At 46.3% G+C, this 24,879-nt stretch overlaps 1 protein-coding gene across 1 annotated transcript in view, besides 1 other annotated feature; it reads left to right on the top strand.

The window, feature by feature from the left end:
• The window catches only part of CPXM2 (carboxypeptidase X, M14 family member 2), a 198,466-nt gene that overhangs the window by 8,969 nt on the left and 164,618 nt on the right, over positions 1–24,879 (top strand). The gene's annotated exons all lie outside the window — the stretch shown is intronic.
• Positions 7,725–8,924: an enhancer, noted in NCBI's record as "MED14-independent group 3 enhancer chr10:125685728-125686927 (GRCh37/hg19 assembly coordinates)". NCBI's record gives its function as "activates an origin of replication core promoter dependent on BRD2, BRD4, P300/CBP and CDK7 cofactors, and independent of MED14, by STARR-seq in HCT116 cells {active_cell/tissue: HCT116}" and the evidence as "EXISTENCE:reporter gene assay evidence [ECO:0000049][PMID:35650434]".

Genomic DNA, 24,879 nt, shown 5'->3' with positions numbered 1-24,879 from the left:
GGCCTTTGCCCTGATTGTCTCTTACAATGCACACACCTTCCCTCTGCAGAGGAGACCAAGACAGGAAGTTAAGTCACTTGCTAATCAACGCTGGAGCTGGGAGGAGGCAGAAGAATGTGGCCGAGAAGAACAACTAAGAACTTCCTGGCTAGGTCGTACCCAAAGACAGCCTTGGGTGCTTCATGTAATTTTAGATGATGAGGAGTTCACCTCACTGTGGCCTGACAGAATGAGAAGGCTGGGCATCAGTATCAAGGGGAACTTGAAACGAACTTCATCCAACACAGCTAGTGGGAGGCACAGGTCTCAGTGGCAGGCGATGGATGGCAAAAGCAGAAAGATGGCTGGAGGAAATGGGTGGGGAGAAAGGGCCCTGCACACCCTCTACGTGGGTGGGGCGGATGTGGATGAAGGGCCTCCCATGGGTGAACACAGAGCTTCCCCATCAGGCTTGTTCCTGGTGCGTGGTTCGCAGAGTGCCTTCCTTCTCTTGGGGTTTACAGTGGGTTGAAGAGGGTCCCCACCAAATTCATGTCCACTTGAGCCTCTGAATGTGATTTTATTTAGATGTAGGGTCTTTTCTGGTGGAATCAAGATGAGGTCAAACTGCATTAATTTACCACTAAATCCAGTATGATGGGTGTTCCTATAAAGAGGGAAATTTGGACACCGAGACACAGACACACAGGGAGAGGGCTGGTGAAAACAGAGGCAGGGATTGGCGAGATGCACCCACAAGCCAAGGAAAGGCAAGGGATACCAGGAGCCAGCGGAGCCTGGGAGGGGCAGGGACAGATCCCCACCTATGGTCTCCAGAGGCATGTGGTTCTGCTGACACCGCCATTTCAGACTCCTGGCTTCCAGAACTGTGAGAGAAGACCTTTCTGTTATTGTAAGTCACCAGTTTGTGGTGCTGGGCTATGGCAGCCCCGTGAAGTGCATGCAGGGCTCGGTGTCATTGGGTACAGCAGACCCTCTTGGGCATCTGCCAGCATTTCCCCTTCCCCCTTTCCTAACAGCACCTTAAACCTGTTCAGCTGTTACCTCTTCCTTGACCCCAACATTACAAAAGTGAAGAGGACTTACCCCGGCTCCAGGAGCAGCCCTAATTCCCAGGTAATCAGGTTTGGTCATGCCATCCCATGACACCTGCCTGGGACTCATTTCTGAGCAGACACAACCCAATCTGACCAACAAGAGATGAGGGGAGTTGGGTAAGGAGAGGTATTTGGGAAGACATATTTCCTCTCTCTTAAGAGGGAGATTCAGAAAAGAAGATGAGCTCCCTTCCTCCTGTGCTCCTTACATCTTATGAAGGGTATGATGGCCTCCTGTGGCCTGCCCGGGGTGGGGAAGCCTGGGTTTAGGTGTACTTCCTTTTTTTTTTTAGTTTTGTTTTGTTTTTGTTGTTGTTTTCAGAGACATGGTCTCGCTCTGTTGCCCAGGCTGGAGTGCAGTGGCGTGATCTCAGCTCACTGCAACCTCTGCCTCCCGGGTTCAAGCGAATCTCCTGCCTCAGCCTCCCAAGTAGCTGGGATTACAGGCATATGCCACCACCCCTGGCTAATTTTTGTATTTTTAGTAGAGATGGGGTTTCACCATGTTGGCAAGGCTGGTCTCAAACTCCTGACCTCAAGTGACCCGCCCACCTTGGCCTCCCAAGTGCTGAGATTATAGGCGTGAGCAACTGCACCCAGCCTGTTTTTGATTCTTAAAGTTCAAATATGGTGACATCATTTTTTTGGTTTTCTTCTTGATTCCTCTAATAGCTCATCCATCTTGAGCATCCCCACTGCCGTCAAAGGATCAGAACAGCTGGGTCTTATTTAATCAAAATGCCACTAGTCCTAGATCAATGCTAGGAAGACAGGGCTGGGAAGTTTGGTGGTCAGTGCAGGAATGATGCTGGCTCTTGCTGCAACATGGCATTGTGGTTGGAGACCAGTCCTACTTGCCCTTCCTTGCGATGGCCTCACTGTCCATTCCCTACCCAGGCCATGGTGGAGCCCCATGCTTGGTTTCCAAAATCGCATTCAAGGTAGCTTTACTTGACACCTCCTTGGTCAGTTATTGTCCCTAATGCACAATCACTGTACCAGGGTGGATTGGTCCTGAGATCTTCCTGTCTCTGCTACAGGGCCCAACTCTAGTGGACAGCAGGCACATTACCTTTTGAAGTTGTGCTCCAGGAGACCCAGTTGTTATGGCTTACAATGCTTTACAGAACCAGCTCTCCCCCATGTGAGTCCTGTGCCCTTGCACTGAGACTGGCCTACAAGCCCTGCTTCCCCTTTCTCTCCTTTGCATTCCCTGTTGGAGCCCTTGCTGTATTTTGCTATCTGCCACGCCGAGAAACTCCCACACTTCCTGCACTTGGAGCTCAGGGTGCAGGCATTGGAGTCTGAACCCTCCTTCCGCAGTAGGCTCTTGCGTTCCTTATGTAAATTGATTCACCTTGTACACAGAGCCCTGCATTCCATGGGGAGAAATGACTTTAAGTAGATGCTGTTGAGTGAGTTTGAGAATGAGATTGCAAGGAGCAGAGTGGGACAGGGAGAGCCTGTCCGTACAGAAGGATGGAGAGTCATTCAGAGATGCACTATTGAGTTGGCCACTGCAAAAGGCAGTTGACTGCCTGACTTTGCAGACTTTCTGGGAAATCTATGGAATGTGTCTTAGAACTGTCCACCCAAGGAACAAAGTGGGAAATATCATCTGCTGGCTCCAGGTCCCACTGGTCAAGAGTGTCCTATGGGGTGTTAATTTGCAAGTCTGGAGTGAGGTGCTCTTCAGTTAGCTCAAAGCCTGCACAGAGCTAGTTGCTGCAGTAAAGGCTGGCATGAGAGGTGAGGCTGAGAGGATTCTAGAGACAGGCACCAGAGCAGCCCAATACCACCCTATACACACAGAAGATGGTGCCTGGCAAGGATGCCTACTGACCCTGCATTACATAACCAACCACCAAGTCTGCACTTCACAAAGAAGATTGGCTTCAAAGTGGCCACCAGTCTTTGCTTGAAGATGTAGCTGACACCTTCCTCTTGTACAGTTTCACCTGTACCTTCGTAGACTCACATATTCCCTAACTTAATCAACACTGTCACCCTGTTTAAAAAAAACCACTCAGACTTATACTCTGTATACTGACTTAAGACCTGACTTTCTTCTTTTACTTTGCTTTTTACTTCATAGTAAAGCATCCATAGTTCTCATGTGTGTCAAACTCTTGTGAATTTCATCATCAGTCACTGCCTGACATTCCTCGCATGGCACATAGTTTGAGAAAGGCAGTGCTATTCTGAACAATATTATGATAAACACCTTTTTACATATAGTGGTTTACTCTCCCATTTTATTGGTGGACTGAGAGTCTGATATGAATATACTAATCTAAAAATGTAATAATTACTGCATCTATTCATTTAAAATGAGTGTAGTGGGAAGATTTGATAACCACAACCATCCCTTTTTGATGAAGTTCAACTTATCCATTGTTTTCAAATATTGCCCTGTATGAGTTTGGTGCTACTTTTTTTCCCAGGAGGAGGGGCAGGAAAGAAGCCAAATGTCTCTCACAATAAGAAAAGCCCATCATCTGCAAGATCATCCTCAGGTTGGACAGTTCCCTAGAAGGATTCACAGAACAAGTTATGGGCTGTTACACTCACAGTTATAGTTTATTACAGTGAAAGGATGGAGATTAGAATCAGCCAAGGGATGGGGCACATGGGGCAGAGTCCAGAAGAGTTCCAAACATGAAGCTTGCTAATGTCCTCCTCCACAAACTCATGGACAGACTAACTTTTCCTAGTAGCAATGTTCAATAATACTCATGAAATACTGTCAATCAGAGAAGGTTACCTGAGCCTCAGTGTCCAGGGTTTTTTTTACTGGGGTTCGGCCTCATAGATCTGATGTTCTCACCTCCCTTCCTCTTTTGTTAATTGCCAGACAGCTGAGGCTCACTTGGTCCCCACCCCTTCCCACCGGAAGTCTCTTTGCCAGATGATGGTAGTGGTCAGTCCCTTCCCTGAGTTTTCTAGACCCCCCTTGACTAAGGAGCCTGATTAGTTCTTACTCTCTGTTGTGGTTACACGTGGTCAAGTTGTCCCCATGAATATGGGTGTACACTCAGAAGCCTGGGGCCTAAACCAGGATATTATGGCAAACCCAGTGTGGGTAAGTTTCCCCGGCCTGCCCTCAGATCAGCTGCTGTGGGAACGAAAGATTTATTTCTCCTTGCCAAGCTCTGGAGACCTCCCGGGCTACTCATTTTCTGTAAATGTGACAGGGTTGTAATCATCTAACATTAAACTATTCAATTAAAATGAATGTCAGGAAACGCCATCATGACCTGGCTTTGGAGCATTCTTTCAGCAATTCATTGGATCGACTCACTGGATATCTTTTCCTGCTTTAACCGTAACAGGGAAATTAAAAGCACATGGCAGCTCTCAGGAGTGTTATGCAATTTCAAATCCTGATTCACTTACTGGAGGTCTGCCTAGCTCATCAACCTGCTTCTGGGCTTACTATCTTTTGGTTGTATGCACTTGGAGGTCCTGATGGAAGGGGAAGACAGGGCTGCTTTGAAGCAGGGTCCAGGAATCTGGCTGGAGTGTGCTACAGGAACCCACAAAGGTACCAGCACTCACGTGGCCTCTCCTGCAGTCCTGGTCCCTGGCACAGGGAGAACTGCGTTCCTTTGGAATGTTTCACGCCCAAGATAAACTAAGCTGGAGTCATGGGGCTGCTGGAAGCAGCACACCCCAGTATGTTTTTCTCCTGAGGACAGCACCTCTGCCTCCAGTTCAGATGGTGCTGCGGGGAGCAAACAGAAAGTCTCAAAGAGTAACTTTGAAGCAGGGCTGTGGGATGGAGGTTTGAGCAAAAGCCCAGGAGAGGGGTCTGGGATTGCCTTACAGGGCCCACGTGTACTCAGGCATGAATTTTCCCAGGAGAGCTGAGAACTCAAGCTATCAAAGTGTGTCACTGTGAGGTGGCCTTTTCAGTGTGCTTCGTGTATCAGGTGTGAGAAAAGGACCAGGCTGGTGGCTGCGTGGAAGACAGGGGTGGAGGGGAGCCAGGTTCTTCAGGGGACAGAGATGGCCCAGGACGGGCTGGGCAGCCACGCCCACAGCAGATGCCTGGGAGGGGAGGTGGTGGGAACCTCTGTCACCTCTGCTTCAGCAGCAGCTCTGGGCACACCAGGGACGCCCTACCCAAGGAAGGAAGCATGACCCGGTGGTTGGAGCTGTGACCCCAGGCTTCTTGTCCCTTTCTGATTACAGATGGGGTCTTTGGCAGGGATCCAGAGCTGGCAGGGGCGGGCTGTGTATCTGTGTGGGTGCACACCCCGCTCTAAGACAGGACCTGCTTGCCTTTCTGGGCTACCACCAAAGGGGCAGCAGGTTCCTTGCAGGTAGCCATTTTAAAATAAGGCTTGCAGAAGGCAAAGGGACCCTTCCCAGCAGGAATAGTGGGGGTGAGGGTGGGTGGGGAGAAGCAGAAATGAGGACTCTGGCCAGAGCACCCACTCTACACTGGGATCCAAAAGGAAGTGAAACAGCGAGGGCAGGGAGAAAATGAGGTTTCTTCCATGGTGGCCTCCTGGCTTTCCTCCTCCTAGCCTTGTTTGTAGCTCCTCAGTTTATCTGGTCTCTTCTCAGATTCAGTTGCTGTTCTGCAATTTCACTTTTGTCAAAGACTGGAGGGACTCTGGCCCATAAAGCCATCAGTGGTGCTGACCAGGAAGCCCCCAGCTCCTAGAAGCTGAGTCAGCCTCATTCACTCCAGGGGAAGGATTGCCAAGGCACCAGTGCCCTCCCATGGGCCCGGGGTCTGGCCTCATGAATCCTCCGAAATTCATCCTCCCTGCACTCTGCCAGTGCCCCAGCCCATTGGCTCCTCAGGTCCCTAACTGTGGCCACCCAAAAGCAGTCCAGTTTGCATGCTGAGCCATCATCTGTCCTGGCACTGCCTGCCCCATCCTGTCACCTCTGACAGATCCTTTCTCTGATCTCCCAACAAGGTCTCAGATGTCTCCTGGCTTCAAACCTGCTGGCTTCTCCAGGATTCCCTGTCCTGGACTCCTGCCTAGGAGAGGTACCAGCTATAGGCCCCCTGTAGGAGTGCCCCCCTGCTCCACTCAGGACCACAGTCTTCCCAGGATCTTCTGGGGAAGCCCCATCTCCCAGTTACCACTGTTGTATAATAAACCACCTCAAACTTAGTGGCATAAACCAAGTATATTTTTCAACGGCCATGGATTTTGTGAACCAGTAATTTGGACAGAAGCCAGTGGGAATGGCTTATTCCTATCTCTGATGTCTGGGAAGCCTCAAAGGCTAGGGGACTAAATGGCTGTGGGATGGAGTCATCTGAAGGCTCATTCACTCATGTTGAACATTTGATGCTGGCTATTACCTGAGATCTCAGCCAGGGCTGTTAGCGGGAACACCCAGAGATAGCATCTCCGTGTGGCTGCTTGGGCTTCCTCACAGCATGGTGGCTAGCTTCCAAGCATGAATGTCCTAACAGAACAAAGCAGAATTTTCTGACCTTGTCTCAGAAGTCACATAGAGATAGGGATGTTTCTACCATCATCTGTTGGTCAACATAGGATCAAGGGGAGGGGAGAGAGATGCCACAATTTGATAGAGCAGTGTCAAGGCCATATTATAAGAAGAGCATGCTGTGGCCACATGTGTTGGTGTATTCTGCTTTGTTGAGACATAATTCACATAGAATAAAATTCACCAATTTTAAATTGCAGTCATTTAAAATCTGCATCTCAAAATACAGAAACAGTCCACCACTCCCAGGGGTCATCAGACCATCCACTCTGGCTGTCTTTGAAGAGTTTTTGGAGAGGTTTGGAACCAGCTATTGAGGTTGGCCAGGCCAGGTGTCCACGGACAATCTTTGTGGTGAATCAAAGCTCTCTGGTGGCCTCCCTTGTTCAGCACTCAAGAAACCAGTTTCCAAGCATGAATCTGTGGTCTATGAAGGTCTCGCAGAAGGCAGGCTGATAGGAGTACATGGTGGTGGAGGGGAGTGGGTGCCCCAGCCAGGAGGTTTGGCAGACAAGCTCTGTGCTGTGTGTTAATGTGGGCATTGACACTCATGAATAGGCCAGGAGGTGGGGGCACAGTTGAGTGTGTTAGTCCTCAGGGGTGTGCAGATCCTGGGTGGGCAAAGAGAATGGAAGTGCCTGGTACCTACCCCCAACACTGGGGGGTTCCTGGAGAAAATTCCCGAAAGGGAGATCCAGGGAAACGAGATTGGATATCTTGCTAACAAGTAGGTGGGAACTAAAACCACACAAATGTTGGAAGAAATTATGAACGTGACCCATTTGTACTCATCTGGGGGTAACAAAGCCTGGTGCAGTGATTGCACAAGCAGTTACTTCCAGAGTGGCAGGTGTCTGGCCAATGAGAATAGTTGTTAACAGCTACTGGGAGCTAATGAACCAGGTGCAGTTGGGAGCCCTAAGGCCGCATGAGCAACAGGTAAGCACCTGGACTCCAGAGCTCACTTGCTTGGTATAAATCCTGGCTCTGCCATTCATTTGCTGTGTGACCTTGGGCAAGGTGCGTTAGTCTCCTCATCTGTAAAGTGAGGTTGACATTAGCACTTGTAGGTCATGGGGAGGATTAAATGAGTTAAAGGCATGTGAGGTGCTTAGGATAGTGCCTGGCATGAGATAAGCCTATGTACGTTTTTACTCTCTGATTGTAAGAATTGGCTATTCTGATTCTCACATCAACTCAACAACAATGAGGCAGGTACTATTATCATGCCCACTTTATGGATGAGAACACTGAGGCACAGGGGCATTTTGCTTGTCTAGCATCACTGAAGGGTGGGACACAGGAGGCTGCCAGAGCAGAAGCCTCAAGGGAGGTAGAGAAAGAGGAGAGACTGTCCTTCCTGTAAAGGGAGCAACCTTTGAAAAGGCCCAGTGGTGAGCTGGAGCTTGGCATGCATGAGGGGACCCCTGTGGAGTGTGGCTGGGGTCTGGAAATTGAGAGTGGGTAGTGGTGAGACTGCGGTGAGAAGGTTGGCAGAGCTTCAGTAAGGTCACGTGCCCATCCACAGATGAACACTTACTGGGTTCCTATGTCCCAGGACCTGTCCCAGGTCTGAGATGCAAGAATGGGTAAGTCTGTCTCTTCTCTGAGAGGCTCTGTCAGTTAGGGGGCATTTGGCTGGAACTCTCGGGAAACTTAACAGAAGTGACTAATGAAGTGAAAGGGTTTTCTTCACATAACATAAAATCTGGAGCCATGCAGTACAGGGCAGACACAGCAGCTCAGAAGCCCTGGGGATTCCCCTGTCTTGTCTTCCTGTCTTTCTGCTGTGTCATCTTTAACTCATGGCTTTAGTCCTCATGATTGCAATATGGCTGCTGCACTCTGGACATACGTTTATGTTCCAGGCAGGAGAAAGGGGAGGAGCAAAGGACAAAAACAAAAGGCAGACAGATTTTCTGGATGTATCTCTGTTAAGAAAGCTTTGCAGAAAGCTAAACCGTTTTGCGTGGTCAGCTTAATTGAAAGAATATCTAGGAAAGTGAATAGTTTTAAAAGGACCACTGCCCTGGACAGAATTGATGTTCTCTAGCTCTAAAGAAGGGGAGAAAACATGTTCAGGAAGCAATTAGAAGCATTTGTCAGGCGAGTTCAGTTCAAGGGAGAGAGACACACAGATGATTCCAATAAACTGTGCTAGGTGCCATGGTAGAGGTATGCCCAGGGCACTGGGGGAACCCAGGAGGAGCATCCAAGCCACAGAGGAGTCCTCAGAGGAGGCAATATCCAAATTAAACCTTAAGGACAGTAGAGCTAGCAGAGGAAGAAGAGCAGAAGGTGGAGGAAACCATTTCCATGGTAAGACCCGGTATCGGAAGATTAGGTTATTGTTCCCACTTCTTCACTGCCTTGGTTTGGAATGGCTGGAGACTTACTTTGGCCAATGGCATGTTACAGACATGGCACAGATGCTTTGGTGCTGGCCCTCTGGCCCGCTTGGAATCTGCCATGAGAAGAGCATGTCATGGGTAACTCCTGTGGAAGAGGGCAGGCTTGGGACATGTGTCTCTGGAAGTCCTTCTAGCCCTGAGATCCTGCTATACTTTAAAAGCATGATATGCTTACATATGTTACTGAGATTTCACTGGAAATCAGTGAAAATAGGGCACTTTTGCCTAATGCATAGATCTTGGACCCTAATTTTTGACATGTTAAATTATTACAATTTTGTATGGTTGTATCTGGAAGCTCCATGAATTTGCTCATTGCTCTGTTGTTTCTAGAACAGAGCCTTGACACTTAGTAGGTTGTCACTAAATATTTGTGGAATGAATGAATGAATAACTCTTATAGTCTAGAGGAAAAAGTATACAGGTAAACAAGACAGAAACATGGTGTGGTAAGTGTGGTAGGGTGGGGGGATCCATAGTGTTGCAGGAATAACAAGCTTTACCTCATAATACACACAAGAGAGGCAAGAGATGCCAATTTTGTTGGATGTATGCAACTTACAAATATTTTGGCACAGACATAAGATTTCCAAGAGGATGTTTACAAATTAAGGTGTTTTAAAATTTATGCATTTTAATTAAATTCACTCTATTATGTGAAATTATTGTGGAAGCCACTATCTCTCCCGGTACACTAATTAGCAATCAAGACGGCAATGTGTTTTGCAGATTTAGCAAAGGCTGACAAAGGTGATCTTGGATTCACTGGAAAACAAAATTAATAAGTGTGTGAGATTCTTTCTAATAATCTCCACTACTTAATGAGGTCTGGAAACTTGCTGAAGAACTGAGCAAGCTTTCAAGCCTGAATTCTCTGTCTTTTAATTGAAAAAAATAACCAGTGGATAATTTCCTGAACTTCTCCCTGCTAGAAACATGTAAAACAGTGGAAAATCTAGCAGATTTAGGGCATAAATTGGGTCCAGGGACCACGTCTCTCTCCCTCCCTTCCCACCCCTCTGTGAATATATATAAATAAATCATTTGAAAATAATTTATGACTTATCATGACACTTTACCCCTAAATCATAATCCCTTAGCACTTACTTCCTAACAATATTTTCTTATTGTGATACAATAAAAATATATGTATTTGGTCTCTGTTCCTGGTTTCTGGCACAGAGCCCCTAAAACCTTTGGAATTTTCTCGTCAATAAGGTGTTCTAGGAGTGTCTTTTGTTCTAATAGGGGTATTTTGTTCTAATCAGGGTCTTTGACCCTGATTCCTGACACAGAGCTCCTAAATCCTATGGAATTTCCTGAGGTGATAGGGGCATGCTTTGTTCTAATGAGATGACTCTTGTTGGGCCCCCGAATAGCTTCAGGATGGAGTCTGGTTACCAGAAAGACCAAGCCAGGACTAGAGGCTTGGAACTTTCAGCTCACCCACCGCCACTCTGCATCCTCTGGGGAGGAGAAAAGGGCAGGAGATTGAGTTTATAATCAATCATACAAAAGTGATGAAACTTCCATAAAAATCAGAGAGCTTCTGGGTTGGTGAACACGTCCCTGTGCCAGGAGGGTGGTGCACCCCACCTCCGTGAGAACAGAAACTCCTCCACTTAGGACTCTTTCAATCCTCATCCTGTGTGCCTCTTCTTCTGGCTATTCATCTGTGTCCTTTACCATAGACTTTATAATAAAGCAGCATCAGAAACCAGGAAACCAGTAGGCATCTCCCTGAGTTCTGCAAGCCGTTAGAACCAACTATGGAACCTAAGGAGAGGGTCATGGGAACCCCTACACGGGGTCATTGTGGCTACGTCAGACAGAACTGTGGGTAACCTGGGGACCCGCTATTTGTAACTGATGTCTGCAGTGGGGGCAGTCTTGTGGGACTGAGCCCTTCATCTGTGGAGCCTGCACCAACTCTAGGTAGTTAGTGTCCTAACTGCATAGTAGAACACACAGTTGGAGTCTGGAGATTTGGTGAGCTGCTTGGTATGGAAAATCTGCACATTTGGTGTCAGAAGTGAAGTGTGTGTGTGAGAGTGTAGAAAGAAAAAGAGTGTTTTTCCCTTTTTACTTATATAACCACAATACTATTACTACACTTGAAAAAATAACAATCATTTTGACCTATATAATAGCTAGTGTATTAGTCTGTTTTCACACTGCTGATAAAGACATACCTGAGACTGTGATTTACAAAAGAAAGAGGTTTAATGGACTCACAGTTCCACGTGGCTGGGGAGGCCTCACAATCATGGCAGAAGGTGAAAGGCATGTCTCACATGGAGGCAGACAAGAGGAGAGAGCGTGTGCAGGGAAATGCCCCTTTATAAAACCATCAGATCTTGTGAGACTAATTCACTACGAGAATAGTATGAAGGAAACCACCCCTATGATTCAATTATCTCCCACTGGGTCCTTCCCACAGCATGAGGGAATAATGGGAGCTACAATTCAAGATGAGATTTGGGTGGGGATACAGCCAAACCTTATCATCCAATTTATGTTCAAATTTCCTCACGTGTCCTAAGAATGTTTATTTCTTTTTTTTTTTTTTGAGACGGAGTCTCGCTCTGTCGCCCAGGCTGGAGTGCAGTGGCGCGATCTCGGCTCACTGCAAGCTCCGCCTCCCGGGTTCACGCCATTCTCCTGCCTCAGCCTCCCGAGTAGCTGGGACTACAGGCGCCCGCCACCACGCCCGGCTAATTTTTTTGTATTTTTAGTAGAGACGGGGTTTCACTGTGTTAGCCAGGATGGTCTCGATCTCCTGACCTCGTGATCCGCCCGCCTCGGCCTCCCAAAGTGCTGGGATTACAGGCGTGAGCCACCGCGCCCGGCAAGAATGTTTATTTCTTAAGAGCCAGGATCCAATGCACACACATTACAGTTGCTTGTTATATCTCTAAATCTTTTTACATTTAGCATGGTCGCTCCACTTTTTCTTTTTCTTTTCCACGACATCAACTTTTTGAAGAACGCAGGCCAATTGTCTTTTAGAATGTCCCAGGTTCTTGATCTGTCTTCTTGTGTCCTTGTGGCAATTTTGCATGTTTTTCTATCCCTCCTTTTCCCCCTGAACCAGGAGTTAGCTATAGAGGCTTGAATAGATCTCCCTGGTGAAATACTTCCTAGGCGAGGGTGGAGACTGCATGGGACGGCCTCAAGCTGCTCCACAGTGAGTAATCTGTTCACTCGTTTAAGGTGTTGACAGCGACTTTTCCCTTTGTGATTATTCAGTTATCTGTGGGTGATACGTTGGCCTCGTGTGAATATCCTGTTTCCCAATAGTTTTTCAACCAATGATCATTCTGACCTGAATCAATTATTCTACTCAGGCTGCAACATGAAGTTCTTCCATTCCTCTTGGATTCTGCAGCTGGAGATGTTGCATAAAGAAGAACTTCCCTCCCCATCCCAAATTTCTGCCCACTTGGCCAAGTTCTCTCACCTCGCCGAGCCTCCTATGCTTTGGGGAATTTAATCTCAGCGCTCAGAAATGTTGTAGACTCAGTGAGACAAAATACAGTAAAGTTCTGTATTTGCTTATGCAAACTCAGGGGACTTGCCACAGGTGCAAGCTGGCTGGGTTGGCTGCTGCTGAGTGAGGATCACAAAAAATCCAGCACTTAGTCAGTGTTGCTTGAATGAATGAGTGAATACCTAAAGCACAGATATCCAAGAGGGACAGCATATATTTTTTTAGAAGGGCAAAATTGCATTACATCCAGAAACATTTTTACCCTTTTTGAATTAAAAAAATTGAACTTTATATGTTTGCCCTTATTCCCTTAGGCTCTGCTGGGCTCAGTGCCATACCTGTGGTTAAGATGCCAGAACTCACCTTTTGCTTCTTCAGAAATCACTATACCATGAAATTTCCAAAATGGGTAGGATGATGGTTCTCAACTGGGGTGATTTTGCACCTCGGGACATTTGGCAATGTCTGGAGACATATTTGATTGTCACAAGTGTGGGGCATGGGTGCTCCTGGTATCTACGGGGTAGAGGTCAGGGATGCTGCTCAACATCCTACAATGCACAGGACAGCCCCCACAACAAAGAAACACCTGCCCCCAAATGTCAATTGTGCTCAGGTTGAGTCCTGGAGTAGAACAAGATACATTCTTCTTTAAAGGGAACAGATTCAAAGGGTTGTGCAGGGAAACATGGGGAGGGATGGAGAAGAGCTAAGCAAAAGAAAGGCATCAGGCATCACACATTACAACTTTCATACCTCAGCTATCCCTTCTCTTAGCTCCTGAAAGAGTTGTAAACCAGGGATCTTTCCTCCTCAAAGTTGGATGTTGCCAGGGAATTGCAAACCTTTATTCTAAAACTCTAGGTATCCTGGGATTCTTTTTACCTCCCTAAATGTCTATAATTCCCTTCTTCACTCAGGCTAACAATGGCACATGTGGCTGTCTCTATTACCCTGTAGGTCCACTGAATTATTCAGCACACAGGTGTTTGAATCTGAGCCTCTGCTACCATGTCTATCATCTGGATCCTGAGCTCATGCTCCTTTGTTAGTGGTCTTTATTCCTTGCCTCTCATAGCTTGGATATTATACAGGGATAGGTGGGCTGCCAGCTCTTATCTTATTCACAGAACATCCCTTAGGCATTAAAATCTGCTGCTGCCATTTGAGGCTAGCTGTATTTTTTGTTTCTTTCTTCCTTTCAGTCAATGATTTTATCAATTGTGAAGCAGTGGTTACCACTAGCATATCAGAAGATTCTTTCCCATAAAGGCCTTTTTCTCTTTGTAAACAGAATTAAGAACTTTAAGAACTGTCAGGCAGGCCAAATCTATAATGTCTAATAATTTTGAACTTTAGATGCTTTTTTTAAAAAAAAATTGTCTTATGAACTTAGATAATTGGAACCTCATGAACATGGGTGAAAGCTGAAATAACTGACCATCTTCTTCATCTGGTGGGCACTCTCTTACACCTCCTCTCTTTAGAAAGAAATCTTCAAGAATATGCTCTTTTTCTTGGACTAAAATTGAGAGATTTATTCCACCCTTTTCCCTAACAACCTGGTGCATTCAGAAGTAACTTTTTTTTAATGTTATAAAAATGTTTGATCATTGTCTTCATCTGTTTTTTGTTGCTATAACAGAATACCACAAACTGGGTAACTTACAAGGAAAAAAATTATTTCTGAGAGTTCTGGAGGCTGGGAAGTCCAAGAATAGGGCACCAGCATCTTGTGAAGGCCTTCTTACTGCATGATCCCATGGTGGAAGGTGGAAGGGCAAAGTCGTGCATGTGAGAGAGAAAAAGAGAAGAGGGAGTCAAACTCATCCTTTTATAAGGAACCCACTCCCACAATAACTAACCCACTCCTGAGATAACAGCATTAATCCATTCATGAGGGCAGAGCCCTCATGACCTAATCACCTCTTAAAGGTCTCAACTCTCAACACTATCATATTGGGGATTAAGTTTCCAACACGTGAACTATGGAGAAACATTTAAACCCTAACAATTATCCACTGTCATTTTGGAAAATATTAAAAAATAAAATAAAAGGACAATTTACCAATAGATCTTTTTGCCAAAAGAAGTCACTAAAAACACTTTATTTTACTTCTACCTAGCTTTTTCTCTATGCATAGTATTTTTGGACATAATTGCAAGAACACTGTTTTTTAAATTTTGTATCATGATTTTTTAAACATTAGATCATAGGAATTTTTCAAAGTAATAACAAGCCCTTTGTAAAATAATTTTGCATTGTTCTTATTTTTGAAATCTGTTTTTAAATTTATAACTACTGGTGATAAATTATCTTAGTTTTCCTTCATCTGAATATATCTTTATTTCATTTGCTTTCATTCCTGAAGGATATTTTTGCTAGATATAGGAATTATGTCTTTGAGAACTTTAAAAATAATTTTCAATAATCTTTTGGTTTCCCTGGTCTTTAATAAGAAATGACACTGAGGCTCTGTTGATTTATTTTTAATCTTTTATCTCTTTATCACTGGGTAATTTCTATTGATCTGTGCCATGGTTTGGATATAGTTTGTTTGACCCCATTAAATCTCATGTTGAAATTTATCCCCTGCTGTTGGAAAAGGGGCATGGTGTGAGGTGTTTGGGTCATGGCAGTGGATCCCTCATGAAAGGCTTGGTGCTGTCCTTGTGGTAATGAGTGAGTTCTCACTCTGTTAGTTCCCATGAGATCTGATTGTTAAAAAGAGCCTGGAACCTCCTCCTCTCTCTCATGCTTCCTCCACTTCCTGAAATGTGATCTCCCCACCCTGCCTCCTTTTCACCTTCTGTCATGAGTGGAAGTTTCCTGAAGCCCTCACCAGAAGGAGATACCACTGACATCCTTCTTGTACAGTCTATAGAATTGTGAGCCAAATAAACCTCTTTTCTTTATAAATTACCCAGTCCCAGGTATTTCCTTTATTGCAATACAAATGGACAAAGCAACTTGTCTTCAAATTAACTGACTCTCTTTTGTCATTTTCATTCTGTTATTGTGCCTCTCTAGGGACTTTCAAAAAAATTCTATTTGTATGTTTCAGTTTTTAAAACTTTCCACTTGGTTCTTTCCTACTGGTTCTATTTCTTTACTGAGAGCTTGTAACTTTCTATTTGTTTCAAGAGTGTTCATTCTTACTTTATGGAGTATGGTTGTCATACCTGCTTTAAATTCTTTGTCTGATAATGCCAAAATCTGGGTTATCTTGTGGTTGCTGGGATGTATCTGGTTCTTAGTATGTTGAGTAAATTTAGATTGTATCCTGGATATTTTTGAATATTATGTTATCATGCTATGGGCACTGTTAAAATCTTCTGATAAATGTTGATTATTTCATTTTAGCAGGTAATCAAGCTGGTTAGGAATGGACCACAAGTCCCTGTGCATCTTTTGTGGGCCGGAGTTTCAATGTCAGTTTGATTTTCAAAGGCTCTGTGGTGCTATTTGGATATGTCCTGTGTGGGGACCACCCAGGGTCCAGTCTGGGTCCTGAGCAGTGGATGTACAGCAGTTAAATTCTCAAAGCCTTGTCTATGCTACTTTATGTCAGTTCCATACGTGCACAGCTCAGAGAGGAGCTGTGGGCTTCAAACAGATTTAGGGGCTCTCTTTCTTCAGCTGCCTCCTCTTCCAAATTTCTTCCACAATCTCCAGCTCCCAGTGGCCCCCTTTCCTGGTGCTCCAGCTGGGGTTTTTACCTTCCCTGTGTTTTCATGCACTCTCTGTGACTGGGTCCACTTTAGGACAAAATAGCTAGGAAAAAAAGAAAGAGGAGATAACAGACGTCCTTCCCACCTCACTCTTTGGACCACAGGGACCCCTTTTCCAGCTTCCTCTAGTCAGAGGAAATAATTTTCTCAGAATTTTACATGCTTGTATGGCTTCCATGACCACTGCTGCTGAAGGGGATCACAGCATCATGACTGGGGATTGCCTTGGGACAGGGCTGGAAGACTAAAAGAAGGGAAAAGGAAAACAAAATGCGGATTTAGCCCCAAGCTGTGCACTGCAAGAGCTGCCCTTCTGATTTTCTGGCCAGAAAGGGAGGATTTCTCTTGGAACTTATTCTGTGCACATAACATCTGCCACACAGTTCAGGATTTAGCTGTTCTAGTGTCTAAGCCAGGAAATATGAGGTGGGAGCACTCCAGGACACTCTGCTGGATCTGTATTTCTTCGAGTTTTTATTTCTTTCCCTACTCTGTTATTATTTTTCACAGTACTCTGATAGTTATTTTATATAGTCTGTCCTGAGTTTTTAGTTGTAACCAGTAGAAGAGATAGAGAGTAAGGTATACCTCCTAGCCAGAATCGAAACCTGCCAAGTTATTTTTCATGGCTGCATAATATTTCAGCAAGCACAAGGGTCATAATTTCTTGAAATTTCTCCCTATTCGATTTTAGGTCATTTCTATTTGTTTTCATTATTATAAATAACCAGTGAATATTTGTTTCCATATTAATAATTATTGTCTTACAACAGATATTCAGGTGAAATGGCTGAGGAAATAATAAATACCAACATATTTAGATCCCTGGGCTTCCTTCTGATTGGAATGCGCTGCCCATATTTTCTTGTGAATGGGTCCTTCTTGTCATTAACTCCTCAGGAGGCATGGACTCTCTCTCACACCTGCCCTACAGTCTTGAACACATCACCCTGTTTTAATTTCTTTATGTGTTCCTATTATAACATCATCCCTGACAATAGAGAGATCTGTCTCCTGTACCACTGTATCCCCAGCAGCCAGGACAATGTCTGGCACAGAGTAGCTGTTCAATAAAGATTTGTTGAATAAGTTATATAGCACAGTGTTGAGGCATGTGGGTTTTTAGTCAGGTGGTCCAGGTTTGAATCCTTTCTCAGTCCTGAAAAGCTGGCTGAGAGGTATAAATGAGACTGTACGAAAGCTCAGTGCCTAGAGTATGGCAGGCATTCAGGGAATATTAGTGCTTATGCACTATGAATCATCAACTTGCTACTTCTGTAAAATGGGGCTAGTAATACTTCTCTCCTCTTCAACATACAAAAAGTGAATGTTTGTGAGAGCACATGTGGTTGTTAGGTAGAAAGGTGCCATTAAAATCTGAGGCTTTACATCTATTATTATGTGTACAAAATAGCAAGAAAAACGTCAAATGAATTCTGAAGCCCATTATAATCTTCTATCAAGAGCAGCAGTTGGAAGGAAGGTTCTGTCCGCAGGCTCTCTCCAACTCCCTGATGTCTTTGCAATGTTTCATTTTGAAAGAAAGTGTTGAAAAAAGTCAGGCTGGGTGTTAAGAAATGACTATGTAATTTAATTATTTTTAATGACATTAAAGATGTTAGTCATTGTAACTTTCCTTCCTGTGCCTGAGCACATCAAAGCGGATCCTGAATTAGAAATGGAATAAAGGATCTTTTCTATGGGCGCCTCTAGAGAGATGTTAAGGGAGATTTGGGAACGTTATGAATATTTTGGCATCTGCTGATTGTATAGATCTATTTTCATCTCCTACTCTCTCCCTTTTTGCCTCAAGCTGAATGTCTATGCCTCCATCCAATCTCACTCAATTTCAGAAACACTAGGTCCGGCCTTCCCTCCCCTCCCTTCCTGTCCTGGCTTCCCCTCTGCCCCCCATCTCCCTATCTGTCATTCTCACTCCCTACTCACCCCCTCCAGCAAACAACTGGAATCAAGATGAGGATCAGAGCTGGGCGTGGTGGCATGTGCCTGTAGTCTTAGCTACTCTGGTTATCAAGGCAGGAGGATCGCTTGAACTCAGGAGTTCCAAGCTGTGGTGAGCTATGATTGCACCACTGCACTCCACCCTGGACAACAGAGCAAGACTCTGTTTCAAAAGAAAAAAAAAAAAGAGAGAGAGAGAGAATCAAATGGCAGAAGGTGGCTTGAGCTAGAGGAATGAAAGGATTCTTCAGATCATTTAGCCAGATCAAACCAACAAACATTAATTTGATGCCTGATGTTTGCCAGGTTCTGAGCTGAGGAAGAGAGAGGAACACAGTGTCCCTGCCCTGGAGGAGCCTGAGTTAGGGAGGCCAGATGCACGCATGGAAAGCTGAGCAGTTAGGGACTTCAGTCACCACTCAAAGGAGTGGGCTTAATGCAGTCAGAGACGACTGGTCAATGGCAGTGAATAGGAACTCCCATGGGGCTCCATGGAAAGGAGCACAGAGTGAATGGGGGTGGGGTGGGAGTGCTTAGCTAAGTGACTTGATGGCTCTGGTTTTCTCAGTCTTGCAGACCTGGACACAGAAGCCCAGAACAATCCAGAGCCTTATCTAGTGTATCATTCATCAGCGCAGAGTGGCTTCTCTATCCCAGGGCTCCTGGCCCCTACTCCATGGATCCTACCACCTACTCTCGCTTCATCCAGCTGCCTCTGATCCCACATATAATAGCATTTTGCCCCTAATCCCCTGGGATGCAATACAAGCTCACCAATGACCAACATAATGCTCCTAGGGCTGGGAATATTTGGTGGCTGAGATGCTTTCCACTCCTGTAGTAATTTGGGTTTGCACAGGTATTTTTTTTTTCTCCCAAAGCATAAAGTACAGCACCAAACTTCAAGCCTGAGAAAGAGCAGCCTTATGCCAAGTGCCCTGGAATCCACAAGCTTTCAAAGCTGGTGACTGTTTTCCCAGAGGGCACAGAGAGTCATGGCCAGGTGCTAGGTGCTGGTTTCAGGAGCAGAAAATTGCTCAAGGGCAGCAGAGGGCTTTGCTGGCCAACGTCAGGAGTATTCGGCGGAACTCCAGGGCTGGAGTGGGCAACAGCTTCCTGAGCAACCAGGACCAGGGACTGGAAAGTTCATAGAGCACTTTCTCGGTTCCCTGTCATTGTTTTCTCTCTGCTTAGCTTTCAAAATAATACATGAATGCGCACTATTGACCAACTCTGAGGATGTAGTGTGGATCAATCACAGACCTGTCCATAAGGAGCCATTGACCAGGAAGAAAGTTGACATCATACAAGGCAACAAACTAAGAAGAAATGATGAGTTGTCTGAAGGGCTCAGCAGATAGCTGAGATGGAGAATAATATGTGGGGCTTTTATTTTTATTTTTATTTTTTTTGACAATCTCGCTCTGTTGCCCAGGCTGTACTGCAGTGGCCCGACCTCCACTCACTGCAACCTCCACCTCCCAGGTTCAAGTGATTCTCCTGCCTTAGCCTCCCAAATAGCTGGGACTACAGGCGCCTGCCATCACGCCTGGTTAATTTTCATATTTTTAGTAGCGATAGGGTTTCGCCATGTTGGCCAGTCTGGTCTCGAACTCCTGGCCTCAAGTGATCTCCCCGCCTCAGCCTCCCAAAGGGCTGGGATTACAGCTATGAGCCACCGCACCCGGCCTACGTGGGGCTTATTTTGGATGGAGAGATAGGAGGAGATCTCCCTGCCATGCAGGGATGATGTGCAGAGTCAGATGTGTGAGGCAGGAGCAAGTGTGTGAAGGGCAGGGCGAGGACCTTCAGGCAGAGGAACAGTGAGTGCAAGGCCCTGAGGCAGGAAATATTTGAGAAACTGAAAGGATCTAGGCGGGGGAGAAGTGAGGAAGGCATCAGAGGAGCCGCGGGAGGGGAGGGGACCAGAGCAGGTCCAATCTCAAACCTCTTGGTAAGGACTTTGCATTTTATTCTTTGGGTGGGAAGAATCAATGAAAGGGTTTGAAGCAGATCCATTTGTTGTTATGAGCTGGCCCCTCTGGCTGCTGCGTGGAGAACAAATTGTCAGGAGGCAAGAGGGAATATGGGGACTAGTTAGGAGGCCGTTAATCAAATCCAGGTTGTCAGGGAGAAAGAGAGAGCATGGAGACTAGTCAGGAGGCTGATAAGCAAATCCGTGTTGAAGATAGTGCTGGCCTGAATGAGGGCAGTGAAATCTTGGGGAATCAGGGAAGAAAACAGATACATGGTATACGTTGGAAGCTGAATCTACGAGATGGGCTGATGGATGCTATGCTGGGGTTGAGCATTTAGGGCCCGGGTGCCAGGCTTCTGGCTTAAGTAACCATCCAGGTATAAAATGGTGTTGTTGGCAGAGACCAGGAAAACGAATCTGGGAAGGAAAATGGGGAGTTCACCTTTCGAGTGAAGTTTGGGACCTGGAGGCAGCATCTGAGTGGAGATGTCAAGGAGGCTGTCAGTCACACAGACCTGGAACACGGGACTTCTCTGCAAGAATTTAAAGCCACAGCAATGGGTAGAATGAACAGGCTTCCCTAGAGAGAGAAGGGGGAAAGCTGGAAGTGAAAAGGGGCCCAGACCCAGCGCTAAAGAACATGTACATCTTGAGTCTCAGAGAAGGAAGACGAGGCAGAGAAGGCCTGGTCAGGGCATTCCGGTATCCCAGATGGGAGAATGTCCGGGAAGGAAGCCATGGTTAATGTGCTCGATGTGGCTTAGAGATTAAGAAGTAGACTCATGGTTAGCTTCACAGAGTTCCCGGATGACCTTGGCAAGAGCTGTTTTGACCTTCAACTTGGCCATGCTCATTTCCTCTGCTTCTCAGGCACAGGGCAGGCTGGATCTCCTCCCAAATTGCATGCTCCATGCCAAAGAGGTCAAGCCACCAAATGACACTGACTTCCTGCCTTTAAGGTTGGATTCTGAAACCCCAGGGGAGGGAATGCGGTTGGCAATGGCCTGACTCTGGTGCTCACTCTGGTCCATCAGGCATGGTTCAGGGTCTGGGAATTATGTATTGCATAGGCTGTGGGCAGCTTCCAGCTTCCAGAGCCTGGGAGGGGGGTGCCTCCTGAGGAGGGATGGTGCTTGGAAGTATGCCACAGATCCGGTTAAACAGCCAGTCCACACCATCTTTCTTTCAGAGCTTTATCTCTGCGGACCTGGAGCTGCTGGTCACCATGGAAACAGAAGCTTTTGTTCACCACTTCCTCTTCTCTTTTTCTCGCTCCCCACCCCTCGTCTTTCCTTCCTCTCCTCACACCCACTTGCCCTCCTCTCTACTTTCTTTCCTCTATTTTTATTCCTAATTTTCTATCTCACTTGCCCTGATTTCCTCATCTATTTATTTAAAACTTATTTAAATTTTATTACGTAGCTTCCTTAGCCATCTTTAATTCCCTTTGTGGGAACAAGGTGCGGAATACATGCGTATATTCATTCAGATGTATGCACATACACACCTACGCACATAAACACACTTATGCAATAATTCCAGTGCTCTTTTGCCAAGCCAATGCCCCCTAAACAATCATTAGGGAAAGAATACAGAGTGGTGAGACATATATTCTAGCCTTGTTATTCACCAAATGCTACTTGGAGAATACATATTCTCTTTTGAGTTTATCCTGAGACTCCGCACTTGGATAAGGCTGCACTTCTTCGGCATATCTGTGTATAACTTCAAACAGCCAGGCTTTGACTGCTCCTATCTTAATAAACATAGCTATCAGTCATGTTTAGCTCAAAATACCCACAGCACATCTTTTATTTTATGTATATACACACAACCAATCCAGAATCTTCCAAGAATGCCTCTGCCAAACTCCACACTCATTAATCAAATCAAGGCAGAGAGCCCAGCAGCCTCCTAGAGTAAGAGCTACTATGCAGATTTAGAGCCCTTCATCTCTGCAGAGTAGAGCCCGGGGATCCATTTCCATCGCTAAGCACTCTTTCAGCAGAGAACTACCCGTGTGGATGAGCTTTGGAGGAGTCTGGAGTATGACTACAAAGAGAGGTAAATCCACAAGGTCTGGCAGTTCCTTCATGACCCTCTATACCTAGTTGGCAAATGAAAACAACAACAAAGTAGTTGAACCTGTTGTGTGGCTTCAGAGACAAAAATAACTGGATGGTTGCCTGGACTGAGGTTGTTTGATAAAATAAATTAACAGGTTGTGAGAATCACAAAGATGGAAGTGGGTGATTGATCAGAGCCCGGGATGAAAAAAGCTAAGTGCCTTTCAGAGCCTTCCTCCAGCCGGAGTGGAGAGGGCTGGGCGTGTTTCAGTTCACACTTCCATGCTCCCAATCCCTGGCAGTGCCTCCTAAATTAGCAGGCTTTGGGGTGAATACCCAGGAGGGCATCACAGATGGAAACAAGCCCTGGCCACCAGCCCCTCCCCTTCTTTTCCACACCGGTGCAATGTCTGGGAGGGCACCAGTCTGCAGATGCAGGGGTGGCCCAGGATGTGGAGCTGAGTCCCAGAGGGCAGCCTCTGCTGCCTCTCTCATGTGACCTGGGGAGAGAAATGCCAGTGCAACAGGCCTCACTTTTCTCACCTGTTCAGTGGGTTACAGTGGGTAGCTACTTAGGTATGAGCAGGGCAGGAATGCCTGCCCCCCCCCCCCCGCCCACCATCTGCACACTCACACACACACACGCACTAGGAGTGTTGGGTGACCATCATGTGATGGTCAGGCAGCTGTCAACTGTTTCTCTAAAATAATAATTGGTCACAGGCGCTGCCAGGGAAAGGCAGGCTCCTAAGAGAAAACACCTGAAACCGATCCGCAGCTTCCTAATAAGATCTCAGGAGTGGGGAGAGGGAATGCAAGATCCTGGAAGTATGCCAATGCAGAAAACCCCAGTCGAGAGGTCTAGCTGTGCACGTGGTTCCGCAAGTCACCCGCTTGGTCCTCTTCCAAGTTTGCCCCTCCTTCCCCCCTCCTTTCTGTTCTAAAGCTTTTCAAATAAACTTTCACTCCTGCTCTGAAGCTTGCCTCAGTCTCTCCTTCTGCCTTATGCCCCTCAGTCGAATTCTTTCTTCGGAGGAGGCAAGAATTGAGGTTGCTGCAGATTCACCACTGGTAACATGTAGAGCACCCCACCCCTGCAGGGTGGCAGGAATGATTACAGGAGACGGTGCTCACAGTGTGTGTTCAATGGGTGGCACCTGTAATCAGAGCCCACAGAGGCTCTGTGGGTGCCTTGGCATCACAGTGACATGTGAGCACCCATGTGACTTTCTGGAGTTTCATCTCTTGCCATGCCTCTGTTTCTACCTTGCTGAATCATCCAAGGTTTCCTGAAGTCTCTCAGCTTCTCTCATCTCTGAGTTTCTTGGAGCTGTTTCCGTTCATGGCCTCTTCACCTGGCTATTAGGTTGGTGCGAAAGTAATGGTGGGTTTTGCCTTTAAAACTAATGGCAAAACCCACAATTACTTTTGCACCAACCTAATCGTATTCAGCCTAGTTCTCATCTCCATCACTCTTTCCTCTGAGAAACTTCATCGATGCCCTAAGGCTGGGATAGGAGCCCCCTTGGGGCTGCCCTGCTCTGAGTGTCCTCAGACTGCACTTCCTAGCAGCTGCCGGGGGACCTGTCCCCTGGACCATCAGTTCTTGAGGGCAGGAGTCCCTCATACCCAGCATAGTGCATGGAATGTAACAGGTGCTCAATAAATACTTGCTGAACAAATTCCCAAATGAGAGAGTCACAAAACTAGATAGATCAAGAGAAACATAAGGTCTGTATGGGTTGAATTTTGTCCCCCACAGAAAGATATGTTGAAGTCCTAACTCCCAGTATCTATGAATGTGACCTTATATGGAAATAGGGTCTTTGCAGGTTTAATCAAGATAAGATGAGGTCCTTGGGATGGGCTTTAATCCAGGATGACTGCTGTCCTTATAAGAAGAGGGAAATTTGGACACAGACACAGACACACGAGGGGAGTGCCATGTGGACACACAGAGATCCAGACATAGCAGCACGATGGCCCCATGGAGGCAGAGGTGGAGATTGCAGTGATGCTGCCACAAGCCAAGGAACACCTGGGGCCACCAGACCTGGAAGAGGCAAGAGTGGATCCTCCCCGAGAGCTGGTGGAGGGAGTGTGGCTCTGTGGACACCTGGATCTCAGAATTCTGGCCTTCAGGACCGTGAGAGAATAAATTTGTGTTGTCACCCAGTTCTGTGGTGCATTGTTACTGCAGCCCCAGAAAACGGATACAGTCAATAATGAGGCAGAGACTTAGGTGCAGTTGGGTGAGCACCTGCATTCATACCTGTATTTCACACCAGTTATGCCTAACTCACTTATGCAAATGTCTAGTAACTGATGATTCTGCACCAGCCTGGGGCTTGTATCTGGGAGGGCACAATGAGGAGGTGCTGAGGTAGCCCTTGCTGACGGGAAGTGAAGAAAGCTGGGATGCAGTGGATCAGGAGAACTCCCCCTGGGAACTGCAACAGGGGCCGGGGGTGCAGTTCCGAGAATCTCTGCAGTGGGGGAGTGATACTAGGTTTGATGAATGCTGACAGGACATGAAAGGGTTCTGTCCGGGTGGAGGTCATGATCTTGGCCATTGATTTGACAAAGAATCCTACCTCCAGGGCCGCAAATGCACAGAACTGATTCCCAGACTCCAGAGGGAGAAGGAGTAAAAAAAACCTGGCCA

This window comes from Homo sapiens, chromosome 10, assembly GCF_000001405.40.
Source record: "Homo sapiens chromosome 10, GRCh38.p14 Primary Assembly".
Classification (NCBI taxonomy): domain Eukaryota; kingdom Metazoa; phylum Chordata; class Mammalia; order Primates; family Hominidae; genus Homo; species Homo sapiens.
This window is presented reverse-complemented; position numbering and strand designations above follow the sequence as displayed.